This window comes from Homo sapiens, chromosome 11 (genome assembly GCF_000001405.40).
Source record: "Homo sapiens chromosome 11, GRCh38.p14 Primary Assembly".
NCBI lineage: Eukaryota > Metazoa > Chordata > Mammalia > Primates > Hominidae > Homo > Homo sapiens.
Genome location: NC_000011.10, coordinates 71,813,922 through 71,829,209, shown reverse-complemented (window position 1 = coordinate 71,829,209; position 15,288 = coordinate 71,813,922). Strand labels below are relative to the sequence as shown.

The 15,288-nt window shown below is 37.8% G+C and overlaps 1 long non-coding RNA gene and 1 pseudogene across 4 annotated transcripts in view; both read left to right on the top strand.

The window, feature by feature from the left end:
• The window catches only part of XNDC1N-ZNF705EP-ALG1L9P (XNDC1N-ZNF705EP-ALG1L9P readthrough), a 123,614-nt gene that overhangs the window by 99,385 nt on the left and 8,941 nt on the right, over nucleotides 1-15,288 (top strand). For 2 of the 3 annotated variants that reach the window (NR_172894.1, NR_172895.1), the window contains 4 exons: nucleotides 7,663-7,745; nucleotides 9,439-9,565; nucleotides 10,342-10,437; nucleotides 10,975-11,057. This is a non-coding gene — a long non-coding RNA (XNDC1N-ZNF705EP-ALG1L9P readthrough). Of the gene's footprint in view, nucleotides 1-2,582; nucleotides 2,911-3,931; nucleotides 3,977-7,662; nucleotides 7,746-9,438; nucleotides 9,566-10,341; nucleotides 10,438-10,974; nucleotides 11,058-15,288 lie in introns of all 3 variants that reach the window. The other variant, NR_172893.1, reaches the window with a different exon arrangement.
• On the top strand, nucleotides 7,662-15,171 carry ZNF705EP (zinc finger protein 705E, pseudogene; annotated as a pseudogene). The gene is made up of 5 exons (NR_172892.1): nucleotides 7,662-7,745; nucleotides 9,439-9,565; nucleotides 10,342-10,437; nucleotides 10,975-11,057; nucleotides 12,114-15,171. The product of NR_172892.1 is annotated as a zinc finger protein 705E, pseudogene (transcript).

The following is a 15,288-nucleotide window of genomic DNA, read 5'->3' as shown; positions in this document are numbered from 1 at the left end:
CTGTCTTCCACAATAGTTGAACTAATTTACATTCCCACCAACAGTGTAAAAGTGTTCTTATATCTCAACAGCCTCATCAGCAGGTAGTTTTATTTAAAAAATTTTTGAGAAACCTTCATACTATTATCTGAAATGGACATAGTAATTTGTATTTCCACCACAAGTATACAAGGGTTATCTTTTCTCCACATCCTCACTAATACTTGTTATACATCTTTTTGATAATAGCTATTCTAAGAGGTATCAGATGATATTTCATGGTGGTTTTTTTATTTACATCCCCCTGATGATTAGAGACGGTAAGAATTTTTTCATATATTTGTTGGCCATTTGTATCTGTTCTTCTGGGAAATGTCTACTCAGATCTTTGCCCTTTTTTTTTTTTTTTTTTTTGAGATGGAGTCTCGCTTTGTCACCCAGGCTGGAGTGCAGTGGCGTGATCTTGGCTCACTGCAAGCTCCACCTCCCAGGTTCATGCCATTCTCCTGCCTCAGCCTCCCAAGTAGCTGGGACTACAGGCACCCGCCACCATGCCCAGCTAATTTTTTGTATTTTTTGTATTTTTTTTTTTTTTTAGTGGAGACAGGGTTTCACCGTGTTAGCCAGATCTTTGCCCATTTAAAAAAAAATTCAACTTTTATTTTAGATTCAGGAGATGCATGTGCAGGTTTTTACATTGGCACATTGTGTGATGCTGAGGAGTATGAATGATCTTGTAACCCAGATAGAAAACATAATACCCAATAGATAGTTTTTCAGGCTTTTGTCCCCACCTTCCCTTCCCCCTCTAGTAGTCCCCAGTATCTGTTGTTCCGATCTTTACTTCCATGTGTAACCAATGCTTTGTTCTCACTTATAACTAAGAACATATGGTATTTGGTTTTCTCTTCCTGCATTATTTTAGAATAATGGCCTCCAGCTGCATCCATGTTGGTGCAAAGGACATAATTTTTTTATGGTTGTGTAGTATTCCATGGTGTACATATACTGCATTTTCTCTATCCACTGTAACATTGATGGGCATCTAAGTTGATTCCATGTCTTTGCTATCGCAAATAATGCTATAATAAATATATGAGTGCACACGTCTTTATGGTAGAACAATTTATTTTCTTTTGGATACAAGGGTCAGTCCCCATGGCTGCTGTCAAGGGCCAGTGTTGAGTGCCTGCAGCTTTTCCAGGCTCAGGGTGCAAGCTGTCAGTGGATCTACCATTCTAGGGTCTGGAGGATGTTGGCTGTCTTCTCAGAGCTGCACTAGGCAGTGCCCCAGTGTGGACTCTGTGGGGACTCCAACCCCACATTTTCCATCTGCACTGCTGTAGTAGACATTCACCATGAAGTCTCCACCCCAGCAGACTTCTACTGGACATACAGGCTTTTCCATACATCTTTAGAAATCCAGGCAAAGGCTTCTGATATGGTTTGGCTCTGTGTCCCCACCCAAATCTCACCTCAAATTGTACTCCCATAATTTCCACATGTTGTGGGGGGACCCAGTGGTGATAACTGAATCATGGGGGCAGTTTCTCCCATGCTGTTCTTGTGGTAGTGAATAAGTCTCATGCGTTCTGATGGTTTGAAAAGGGGAAACCAATTTTGCTTGGCTGTCATTCTCTCACTTGCCTGCTGTGATGTAAGACATGCCTTTTGCCTTCTGCCTCCCCCCAGCCATGTGGAACTGTGAGTCCAATTAAACCTCTTTCTTTTGTAAATTGCCCAGTCTCAGGTATATCTTTATCAGCAGTGTACTCCTGTACTTTGTGCACCTGCAGGTTTAACACCCCATGGAAATTGCCAAGGCTTGTGGCTTGCACCCTTTAAAGCAGTGGCCCAAACTATGTCTGGGGCCCTTTTAGCCATGGCTGGAGCTGGAGTGGCTGAGACCTAGAATGCTGTGAGCACTGTCCTGCACCTGCACTGGGCCCAGCCCACAAAATCATTCTTCCCTCCTAGGCCTCCAGGCCTTTGAGGGGAGGGGCTGCCACAAGCCAAGGTCTCTGAAATATCTTTGAGGCCCTTTCTTCATTGTCTTCTATTAGCATCTGCTTTCCTTTTAGTTACTCAAATTTCTGCAGCCTGCTTGAATTTCAGACAATACCAGTGGTCTTACAAGCACTACATGACCCCTATAACACTTCCTGACTTCATTTCTGCAATATATTTTATTTTTTTACATCAGGATGAACATTGAAACTTTTTATATCTATTCACCTTCCATTTGTTTTCAAGTCCAGTTTATCTCCAAAGAATTTTAGAATGTAGATAAGACTCTAGTTTGTCTGGTTTCTTGCTGTATCCCTTGACTGCGAATGCTTTCTAGTACATATAATACACTCAAAAGTACTTATGAATAAAAAAAAGGAATTAATCTTCACATTTTTCCTTCAAAATAGCCTTAACTCTTTGGTTTCCAAATTTATGTGAGGGTTTTTAGTAGTAGTCTCAAAAATCCAATCAAATTGAACAGGGAGTGTCTCCAGAATGAAGTTTTTGATTAGATTCAGTGTCTGTGCAATCAGGACATGTCTCTTGGAATGTAGTGGTGATTAGGTTTATTAATTATTTTTTTCATATATAAGGGGAAGCCAATCAGAGGATGCATTTTCCCAGAGAAGGAGCATCTGAAGAGTTTAAGACCTTGGGGAAAGAGAGTCTTGCTGCTTGCTTGTGAGACTTGCCTTGGAAGGTAGATAAGTTCACTGCATCCTCCAGCTTTTTATTTCTGGTGAGTTCTCCAAGCACTGAGATGTGAACTGGCCTCATTCCCTTACAATGATACTGTTACCAGTAGAAGAGATTCCAGTTACTGGCAGCATATCTGCATGGGTCCATAAGCAACTTCAGTCCTTGCCTCCTCAGAAGAAAGAATTCGACTGAAGGGCATACAGCGGAAAAAGAGACTGAGCAGTAAGTTTCAGAGCAGGAGTGGAAGTTTATTTAAAAAGGCTTTAGAACAGGAAGGAGAGGAAAATTCTCTTGGAAGAGACCCGAGCAGATGCCTGAAGGTCCAAGAAAGAAAAGAGAAGAGCCTTTAACCTTGATCCTGCGACGGGTTTGCCTCTTTCCCATGATTCTTCCTTTAGGGAGAGTTTCCAGCATGCACAGTGCTTTCCTTACCCTTTGAAATTGAGCATGCACGGTGTGTTTAGGGAGTTATATGCATGTCCATCTGAAGCTTTCTTTCCTTTTCCGGTGGAGTGTGCCCCCAGATTATGCTTTGCCATTTTTGTCTCTTCACATGCATGCCCAAGAAGTTGCTTCTTCCTGGGGTCTGCATTTAATTCACATTTTTGATGTTAACAGGTGTAGACCATCAGGAAATGGCCTCTCTCTGGTGCTGCCTAATTATCATTTTTAGAGAGGCAATGTGATAACTGACAGGCCATCACCTGACATTTCTAGTGGGTAGGGGAAGAGCCCTCTCCTGCCCTGCTCAAGCTCTTCTACCTGTAACAAGACAAGCCTTGTATATCATTAGACATTTGTCCCATCAAGGCAGCATCTCATTATTACATTTTATTGTGTGAATTGTTACTTCCCATTCTCATATTCTGTGTTCACTATTTGTGTGCCTTTTCCATTTCTGTTTTGACCATATCTCATTATTTTAACTGCCTCCTCCAAGATTCTAGATCTGCATTGGCCAATATAGTAACTACTAGTCACATGTGACTATAAACTGTAATTTAATTATAATTAAATAACTAAATGGCATATCCTTAGTAGTAATAGCCAAAGTCGTGGCCAAACTAGAAATTCTGTAACTGCATATGTGTGGTAGTTACTGCATTGGACAATGCAGATATAGAGAATTTCTTTCATCACAGAAAATCGTGTCGGGCATGTTGGCTACCACTTATTTTTAAATTCTATTTGTGTGGTTTATAGTTAAATTATATTCTTCTTCTCTATATTCATTTCCCTTCAGATTTTCTCAAGCAATTTTTAAATTTCATTCATTTACCTTATTGAGGTAAGTACTTAGATTATTTTTTTAAAATAATGTACAGCAAATAATTTTTCCATGGATATTGTTTTAGCTTTATTGTATTGGTACTTTTACGTACTATATTCAGGTATTATTGTTTTTCATAACGTACTTTAAAAATTGCGCCAAGTTTATTTAAAATAGATTTCTCCCTTGATTTTCAGATGTTAGATTCTGTCTTCTATTGCTGTATTTTAATTTAATTTTATTTTATTGTATGTAAATATGTTGCATATTCCTTTTTTTAAAATGTGAGATTTTTCTTCTCTCCTGTTACACAAACTTTGTATGCAGTGTTCATTATGAACTTTAAAAATAAATATTTTGTTTCAGGGCATGGTGCTTTCACACATAAAACCTTAGAATAATTTTAAATTCCATTCCACTTTCACCATTCCTGAACTGCTTTCAATATATTGGATGTTGGAAGCCATGAGAGGCTTGCAATCCTGTCAAGATAATAGGATTTTCCATTTATAGTGTAATCTGACTTGCAATCCCGTCAAGATAATAGGATTTTCCATTTATAGTGTAATCTGATATATATTCGTTTTGGTTTCATACTTTAAAAAAATCTATTCTCTTTTACTCTGTGGTGATCTTTGCTTTTCTATTTGTTGATTGCTAGAATGTCAGCTGCTGTTTCCCTAGCACTCGAGATGTCATTCAACATTGTATAGCACTGGTGTTGACAATTGAGAGAATCTACTAAATAATAGCACTTTTCGAGACTACAGTTCTGAATTAAAGGAAGGGAAAGGACAGGCAAAAGAATATAGACATCAGCTATTTTTACTGAAGATCTGTTGGAGAACATGGTTTTGTTGTCCAGGAACTTGAGACCTAATAATACATTCCTAATACTTCACTAAGGTGTGTCTAAATAGCCGTGAAAGGGCTAGGAAGTCACAAGTAGGCCTCTTAATTTTTACGGTTGCCCTTAAAATATTAAGGTAATATTGAGGATGCAGAATGGCTCCTTCCTCATGACTTTTTAAGAGATCTGGGCCAGGTACGGTGGCTCACGCCTGTAATCCCAACACTTTGAGAGGCGGAGGCTGGCGGATCACCTGAGGTCAAGAGTTTTAGACCAGCCCGACCAAAATGGAGAAACCCCGTCTCGATTAAAAATACAAAATTAGCCGAGCACGGTGGCCCATGCCTGTCATCCCAGCTACTCAGGAGGCTGAGGCTGGAGAATTGCTTGAACCCGGGAGGTAGAGGTTGCGGTGAGCCGAGATCGCGCCACTGCACTCCAGCCTGGGCAACAAGAGTGAAACTCCGCCAAAAAAAAAAAAAAAAAAAAAGAGAGAGAGACAGACATCTGGAGGGAGATACTAAGCTGTGCAGGCTCTCATCTTGAAGTCACCAAATACATAAGTTGTTATTCCTGCTCTGGTGAAAAGTTTGTCAATACATTTTTTTCCATGAATTAATGAAAATTTTATACCCATAACATAAGTTTCTAAAAGTTTCTCCTAAAGATTGCTTGTGTATGTATGTGTTTTAAAATATATTTAATCTCTACATCTTGAAATAGTTTTTATAGATTCCACACAAGAGTCCTTTATGAAATAAGTATGCTTTAACTTTCTTATAATATTTGTCCTTTTTTGTCCCTGGCACAGTCTGTATATGACCAGTTAAATTACTTTTCATCCATGTTTGGGTTATAATTACACATAAATATTCTCTAAAGCCCAAATCTTATTTTGATATTCGAGGAAGAGCTTACATGGTAATAATATTAAGGGTTACAGCTGGTTTCACTGAAGCTTTGTAGGCCTTCTCTAATATCTTATTTTTTTGAGGGAATATCTGTTCTGCTTGAATTATAGACTACATAATACATGTACTGTCAGGTACATTCATGGAACGGACAGGCAGATGGAGTCATATGTTACTGGAGTCCTGATGAACAGATGTAGAAAATAGTCCAAGGAATAAGAAAAAAGTTGATATTGAAAAGTGCTTGTTGAAGTCTGTAAATGTGCGTTAAATGTGGCAGTAAAAATAGACACAATGATGTTTGGGAACTGGGGTCTAAATACTGGAGTCCCCAGAATCTTAGAGAACCTTGGTTAGGGGAGTAATTTTGTCAAAAAGCAAGAAGAGGCAGTGACAGGCAGAATATAATTAAAAATATTGCTGGGTCATTTTCTAATTTTGTAATTTTGTCATATTTTTCAAACTCTGTTGATCATTTATTAAATTTGTAAATAAACTGTAACCAGCAGGGTTATTATGAGGGTTAAATAAGGATGTATATGTACATCTGTAAGCACAATGTCACAATTAATACAAAGTTACCCTTTTATTTTTCCTGGACTTCGTGTACAAATGGGTCAGTAAATTTTTTGTTTATGACACATAATTATCATTTGTACATAAAATATATTTAATTATTTTTATATTTTTGGCAGGGAAATAATACATGCATGTTTCCCCCTGTCTCAAACACATACATTCATATAAACATATGCACCTATATACCTACATATCTATGTATGAATATGTACATGGACATCAGTATTTCTCAGCAAATATGTATCATGATAATCAGAGATATTGCAACTAACAAAGACTAATATAAACCATGATTGCAAGAATTTTAGATACCACGTTAGTAAAATATCAGATTGAGCTGCTAAATTTCTCCCACCCCTACGTCATTTTGTATTTTCTGAGCATCCTAGAGGATTGTGACTGTATACACAGGAAAGAAACACCAAGACTCAAGGTACTCCTGTTAATTTCTGATGCAGGAGATTTTAAGGGCTAGATTAGCAGGATGGGAGTGTTTACCCTCTAAGTGAAATAAATCCCTCAATTGATTATCCCCATCCTAAAACAGATTTTTTTTTTTTTGAGACAGAGTCTCGCTCTGTCGCCCTCGTTGGAGTTCAGTGGTGGGATCATGGCTCCCTGTAATCTCTGCCTCCTGGGTTCAAGAGATTCTCCTGCTTCAGCCTCCTGAGTAGCTGGGATTACAGGCAAGCACCACCACACCCAGCTAATTTTTTTATTTTTAGTAGAGATGGGGTTTCACCATGTTGGCCAGGCTAGTCTTGAACCCTTGACCTCAGGTGATCCAACTGCCTTGGCCTCCCAAAGTGCTGGGATTACAGGCATGAGCCACCACACTCGACCGTAGAACAGATTCTTACTTGATTATTTCCAAGTTCCAAGGGGAAATACAAAAGTCAGAGTTGAGTGAAAGTAAAAGTGGAGTAAGTCTTCAGGAGGCTGTGGTGGGTGTTGGAGAAACACGGCTAGGGCATAAAGCTAGGAGAATAAAATCTGAGAAATCCCAGTGTTTATCTATAGGTGGAAATCATATTCCACATGTGGATGGAGTCAGGGATCCCTGTGTTTTAAAATCAGTGAGGGAATTGAATATCTGGACTTGTGCCAATTAACATACAAAACTCCATGCTTTTGATGTTCTCATTCACGAGATATCTGTGTTCCTTCTTGGTTAGCAACCATAGTCATAGGCTTCCTAATTTTGACCACAGGAAAAGAGGAGAAGCCTCTGCATGTTTGTGTCTGTTGGTTAGGCTGTGGTGCAGCTGGTGTCACACTTCAGTGAAAGTCTGGCTTTTCATCACAGGTTGATCTGAAAATTGTGCACAAGACTGGTGTCTCACATGTTCTTTCTCCAACCTCAGCTTTTCTTAGTGCCTAAAGTGTCTGCAAGTGGAAATCCAGAGGAAGACAGAGAGAAACTGAGTTCCTGACAATGCATTCACTAGTGAGTAGGGGATGCCTCTTTCTACTGAAATTATACCCATATTGCTGGCAAATGGGCAGTTTTCTCCAATTTGCATGGGTGTTTCAGTTTTATTATTATTTTTGTTTGTTTTTACTATGTAAAATCCACCCAGCCTGGGTGTTCCAAATGCAATCAGAAGGCTTTCCGGTATCTGGCCTCCAATTAAGTTTTCTCAGGACTCTAGGTTGGGTATCGTGTGTCAAAGACTCCTAAATTATCAATATAATTTCTAATATTACACTACTTTATTCCAGCCCCTATTAAGGCTATTTACAAAAAAGATATGAGAGGTTTCATTTATATATTTCTTTTTCTTCTATCCATCCTATAATCTCATAGGGAAATAATTGACCCATTAACTGTACTGTTGGCTGAAATAGACTTAGGATTGTGATGAATACAGGCGATAGAGATGAGTGAAGAGCAGAACATCACAGCCCAACAATGAGTCTGATGTTCTAGCAGCTGAGTTCAATAAATCCAGTGTGATAGGACTTGGGCAAGAGCTGTGCAGTGTTGAGGGAAAAGAAGAGTTTGATAAAATATATTTGAGCTTTTAAAAACTTTGTGAAAGGACAACTGAAGAAGTTATTATTATTCTTATCCCTATTCATTTTACCTTTTGGTAATTAACCTTTTTGCCTTCTGGTAACTGAAAGTAACATATAAGAAATATAATTATTTAATTATGGTTGCACACTCAGAAGAAGGAATATAGTAGATAGAGTACAATTTAGGGTTCTGTGGAAACGCTTTATAAGGGCTAGTTAGAAAAAAAAAATGAAGAGGCTTTTTTAATCTTTGAACAAGTGAAGTGACAAGGTAAATTTAAAAGAGAAACAATGATAACTGATGTTTGGATTGCCAAGAGAAAGTTGAGAACAGGAGGCTTCATATCACAGGAATCATCAGACTAAGATTTCCTCAGTATAGCAGCCTCAGCGGTCTTGTCTTGTGCTGCTAGACTGTCTTTAAGCCTTGTCATGAACACCTGAATTATATAACATTAGGGAGACTATATGTATGAATTGAATCCTATATTCTGCATAAAGCTTGTTCAGTTCTGAAGAATGCTGGAGTCTGGGTCATTACTTTCTAACTTTTTAATGAATAAGGGACCAATGACTTATATTTAATAAATATTTGCTAGATAGGAAACACATTTTCTATTAGTTCATTAGATTATTCAAAACACATCATAGGTCTTTTAACCATTTGATTGGTGAGAAACCTGTGGTTCATCTAGAGAAATAATTTATTTCATCACAGTCGTGCTTAAAAAGTAGTAAATCATGGTTATTTGCCTTGTGACAAATCTGTAATTTACTTGAAATTCATGGTAAATTTCATTTTATTTATGAATGTTCAAGTGAAAATTTTATAATTCGTTACGTAGAGGTGATTAACACATTACTGAAAAATATCTGGGTTATATTATGCCACACCTCATGCGATATTTCTTTATAGTAAAGTTTAATGGATTCAGAGTGGGTATATCTCTGTGAGTGAATCTGAAATGCAGATACCAGCTTACTACTGAGAATGAACTGGCTGGAACTCAAAACACTGAGTATTCTGCATACCCAGCTTCTAGCTATGTCATCTCAGCCTTCCTCTTCCGGACATTGAAAGGGATTTCTCTGTCTAAACTAAAATGTCTGTGATGTTTTAGAAGAAAGTGACTTTTGAAGATGTAGCTATTGACTTCACCCAGGAAGAGTGGGCCATGATGGACACATCCAAGAGAAAGCTGTACAGAGATGTGATGCTGGAAAATATCAGTCACCTGGTGTCCCTCGGTGAGTCCCTCAACATTCACGTACATATGTAGACACACATTCGCTCATTCATTCAATAAGTGTTAGAACAGCTTCCCCATAACTCACTCTAATCTCTTCTCTGCTTCTCTCACAGATCTCATCTGAAAAAAGTTTGAACTCTCTAAATCTATCTCAAATAAATATCTTTCTTTTTATTTTATTTTATTTAGTTTGTCACTCAATTAGAATGTAGTCTTGACAAGGATTTCATGGTTTCTTTGGTACTCAGTCTCTAATACTCATAACAGACCTGGGAACTTGATGAATATTTTCAATGTATTAAATTCAATATTTTCTAAATAACTCTTCTGCTTTAGTCTATGCTTAGGCTGAGACCAATTAGTGAAAACAATAGCAATATCTTTTCCATATAGAACACCAATTATTTTTGTAAATCGAATGATTTTTTTGTTGTGCGTGAGAATAATAATAAACACACTGTGCAGAGATTTAATTACTCTCTTTCTGGAAAGATTGTGTATTATGCATTGTGTCTTGGAACTTAGGCATGGACTCAGCATTCATAGGTCCTGACTGTTTTGAATTTCCTTTTCCTGATGGACCTTTGGTTTGGATTTATTTTCTAGTCTCACGTTGGGTCAGAAAAATCCTGGGGAGTTTTCTGTGTTCTAGGTCTTGTGGCCTGAGCTGACCTTCACTGTTTTTATTCTTCCTTGATAGCCTGCCTTACACTTGGTGATAATGCACATTTATTGACAGTGAACTCAAAACACATGTATTCTTTCCACTAACAGGGTACCAGATAAGCAAATCCTATATAATTTTGCAGCTGGAGCAAGGAAAAGAGCTGTGGCAGGAAGGAAGAGAATTTCTTCAAGACCAGAATCCAGGTAAGCAACAGGGTCCTGTGCTCTAATAGGAGGAGGTGCTTTGTCAATGAATAATATCAGTTGAATATTAATTAGTGGTTTTATTAAATGAGTGATAATTTCTAAAATGTAGGTTAGGCTACTGGAGCAGAATTCCTTAGATGTTATTATCATTTTGTTCATGTGTCAGATGCTACTCTTGTGTCCTCTTTTTTTTTCTTTTCTTTTACTTTTGGGAAAAGGATAATTCATGTACTTGGCTGGGGTTAAACTTTCATATGCTGACTCTTTTCCTGATACCCCTGTGAAGACTATCCCTCTATTTACCTGCCTGATATCTCATCTCCATTTTAACTCTTTTCACATTTTAATTTTAAAAATCTTTTCTAATTGCTGACATTGTACAATCTATTTCTTCTATTCAAGTAGTTTCTTCATTTGACACACTTGCCACATCTAAGTGTCAATTTTTGAAAAAAAGTAAATGGGCCTTGGGGCTTTTCAAACAATTTTATTACCATAATACCAATGTAACAATTTATTTTTCAATTGTTTCAGACAGGGAAAGTGCCCTTAAGAAAACACACATGATATCCATGCATCCTATCATCAGAAAAGATGCACCCACCAGTATGACAATGGTAAGTTTTATAGCTGTGTACACCACTCATCTAAGTTAAAGACATGGTAATGGGTTAAGTTCATAATGAAGCACAATCATCTGAGTGTAATTAGGCTGGCATTAAGTGCTTTCTAAGCAAAAAAAAATTGGATACTTTGAATTTAGTGAATACATTGACCTGTGTTCTAAACCATAACATGAGATCTCTAAAACAGAACAAGTGCATATACTTTGCTCATGCCCAGACATTGAAAGATATTGATATCATCACAATTATACAATAACCCTGCAGTTGAGATGTTACAGAAGAGAACATATCTGTGTCTGCAGGAGATAATGTATATGCAAATGTCAATCGAGAAAAATGACAAGACAAGTCTCAATCATTTTAGGAGATTTATTTGCCAAAGTTAAGGACATGCACCCAGGGGACAGGTGTATGCCTTTCTCCAAAGATGATTTTGAAGGCTCCAAATTTAAAGGGGAAAGGGTGGGATATTGAGAAGTACACAATTTTCATGTAAAAGGTGGGTAGAATAAATAGTCATTCATGCATTTTTCTGGCTCAGTGAATCTGGATTTTTTTACATAAGATGACATAAACAAATGAGGCAGAGGAATAATGCAGGAAAGCTGCATTTTACATAAGACAACATAGGCAAAATGGGGCAGGGAAACAATCAGATATGCATTTGTGTCTGGTGAACTGGGGATGACTGCACCTGTAAAGACAAGTTATCAGTTTGCATTGCCATGGTGTAATTTTAACAGCTCATGAGGAATTTCCTCGTGGGCAAAATATGGGGGAGGCATGTAGCTTTTCATCTTGTAGCCATATTATTTAGGAACCAGAAGGGGGAGGCAGGTTTGTGTGACCCAGTTCCCAGCTTGATTTTTCCCTTTGGTTAAATGAGTTTGGGGTCCCAAAATTTAATTTCCTTTCACACAAGAAACATTGGAAAGATTTCAACTGGGGTCTACCACTGAATGGTTGGTCTAGGATTCAAAGGTAGTGAAATGAATGTATAGATATATGTGGGTAAACCATTAAGAGCTTTTAATCTTTGTCCCAAAGGAGAACTCTCTCATTCTGGAGGATCCTTTTGAATGTAATGATTCGGGAGAAGATTGCACTCACAGTTCCACAATAATTCAGTGTTTGTTAACTCATAGTGGAAAGAAACCCTATGTCAGCAAACAGTGTGGAAAATCCCTTAGTAATCTTTTGTCCCCTAAACCACATAAACAAATTCATACTAAAGGTAAATCATATCAATGTAATCTATGTGAAAAGGCCTATACTAATTGCTTTCACCTTAGACGGCCCAAGATGACTCACACTGGAGAGAGGCCATATACATGTCATCTATGTAGAAAAGCCTTCACTCAGTGTTCTCACCTTAGAAGACATGAGAAAACTCACACAGGAGAGAGACCATATAAGTGTCATCAATGTGGGAAAGCCTTTATTCAATCCTTTAACCTTCGAAGACATGAGAGAACTCACCTTGGAGAAAAGTGGTATGAATGTGATAACAGTGGGAAAGCCTTTAGTCAAAGCTCTGGCTTTAGAGGAAACAAAATAATTCACACTGGAGAGAAACCACATGCTTGTCTTCTATGTGGGAAGGCCTTCAGTCTGTCTTCCGACCTTAGATGACATGAGAGAACACACACTGGAGAAAAGCCATATGAATGCCATTTATGTGGGAAAGCCTTCAGTCAATGTACTAATCTTAAATAACATCAGAAAATTCACGCTGGAGAGAAAATTATAAACATCTTCAGAACATATTCTGACTTTAGATGACACGGTGTTAGGAATGACGAAGGTAAGGAATGTGGAAGAGACTTCAGCTGTAGTTGTAGCATCTGAACATGCCAAAGGACTAACATTTTGAAGAAATACTGTAATCAACATGGAAGATACTTCAGTTACCTTTATTCTTCAGTCCACATCAATAAATTCATATGGAAGAGAAATTGTATGACATGTATGTACCAAAGACTTGTTAGTGATCTGAGCATAAATGACATGAGAGAGCTGAAACTGTCAACATAATCAACTAAAAGTCTTCAGCAACAGCTTTAACTTAAAACATGTGGGACTTTCAAGTAGAGAATCTCTAACTCTGCATTCAGTGTTAAAATGTTTTTATTTGCAATTTATTGTCAAATAACATGAGAAAACTTTACTTGGATGAACCCTTTATTTGTATTTTCTGTGAATAAACATTCAGCCAAGCACCAGGCCTGATGTTCACAAGAAAACACAGTGATAAAATGCTGCTAAAATGGAAAATAAGAGAGGAAAGCCTTCATAAGCTAAATAAGAAGGGAAAGTCTTTCCAAGGGCAATGAATTCTCTTGGAATACCAAATACGTCTTACTGGAGAAGTTATGCAATGAAAAATCATGAGAAATCCTTTCTTCATAGAGCAACACTTGTGGCACATGTGAGATTTCTCACTGGACAAAACATGGTTAGCATCTTGAAAGGAGAAAATTCTTTAGTGGTAATTCATTTCTTAGTTGACACTAAGTTTCTCACATTGAGGAGCTATCAAACTTGAAAATCACTGTGAAGAAACCTGATAGATTTCTTATCAGAAAAGTGAGTCAAGAAGGTGGACCTCTAGAAAAAACTCTTAACACATACTTTAGCAAAATAATTCAGAAATTTGAGAAAATATCTATTCATAAAAATGTGGCATGTAGATGCATAATAGCAAAGTGACCAGGGAAAAAATTGAATGCAGAATTATATAAGAAATCTCATTAAACTTTTCCAAAAGATCAATACTTACAAATATTGAAAGAATACAATCTGTTGTTGAAAAAACTTAGTATGTTGGCAAAGCCCTTGTTTCATTTATGCAGCCCTAACAAATCGATTTGCATCTGCACCCCTTGGGTGAGATTCTTGGTCGAGATTCTACCCCAACTTCTGAGTCTCCCCAGTCTTCAACAGCTCTTTCCTCACAGCTCACCTCCCTTTACTTCAACGTCCACTAAAATCACTTGTTTCCATCCAACCCTCGAGTTGACACACCAGGGATCTTCAGCCCCACTTGCTAGATTTCTCAGTGTGTCATTGCATAGATTTAGCAGGGAAATGGAGGCTGTATCAAAGACACTTAGTATATGCATTTGGGTGTCCCCAGCCCTTTCCTCTGTCTCTGAGCAGTTACCTGGGATCAGAGAATAAGGGAGCTCTTCTCTTCTATCCCTCAGAAGGCTCTTGAAATTTTGTCCCTGGAGCCTCTCTAACTGGAAGTAGAAGTTCATCTCATAACACCCCACATTTTATTCAGGTAAGTCCTGAGTTATTACACAGAGATAGACACAGCTGTGCTCCTTTTACTGCAGTCCAGAAGATAAAACACCAGCATGATAAAACAGCCGAACCTGTCAGCTACCTTGCAAGTCTTTCCTATATTTGATTCAATGTACTTTTCCCGAAGCAAAATGAAAGTTCTCACAGAGGGGCCCTCCTCTGCCTTGTCCTCAGAATTGGAAAATGTATTGTCCGTGAAGGAGCCTCACCACTGAACCTAAAACTCAAGAGAAAATGTTTCCTGAATATCAAGTGGGATGACTTGAAATTTTGCCAAACAGGCACAATCTTAATACGATCGGCCTTACTAAGGCTAAATGGCCTTATCCATGGTTGAAATTGACACATCATTATACTTTAAAAACTCCACAAATGATTGATTTTACTCTGCAGCCAGGGTTTATGTCAACTGTGAGGATAATGAGCAAGAAATTCAAGCCCTTGGCAAACTGGTTGGAGAGGCAAGGACTGTGTCCAGGCAGACAGAGCTCATATAATTATTTATTGTTTAATCTATTTAATTAAATATGTAATTTACCCACAAACTGTAGCTGACATTATATGTACTCCTGAGCCACATTAAGATGTACTATTTGTGCTGTGAAATTCTATGGGATTTGACAAATGCATGGTGGCAGATCTCCAGCCATTATTAAAGCGTAACACAGAATGCTTCTCTTATTCAAGCTCGTCTTCCCTCCACATAGAGGGAATCAATCGACTTTTGTATACTGATTTTTGTATTTGCTTCTTTATTTCCATCTTCTTTAATTAAAGCACAAGATATCGTACTCAATTTCCATTTGATCTTCCAAAAGGAAAGTACTGAATAATCCACACCTGAATTTCAGTGATTCAGACTCAGGTCTACCGCTAAGGCCAAACGTCCTGTGCTGCCACCTCATGGCCGGCA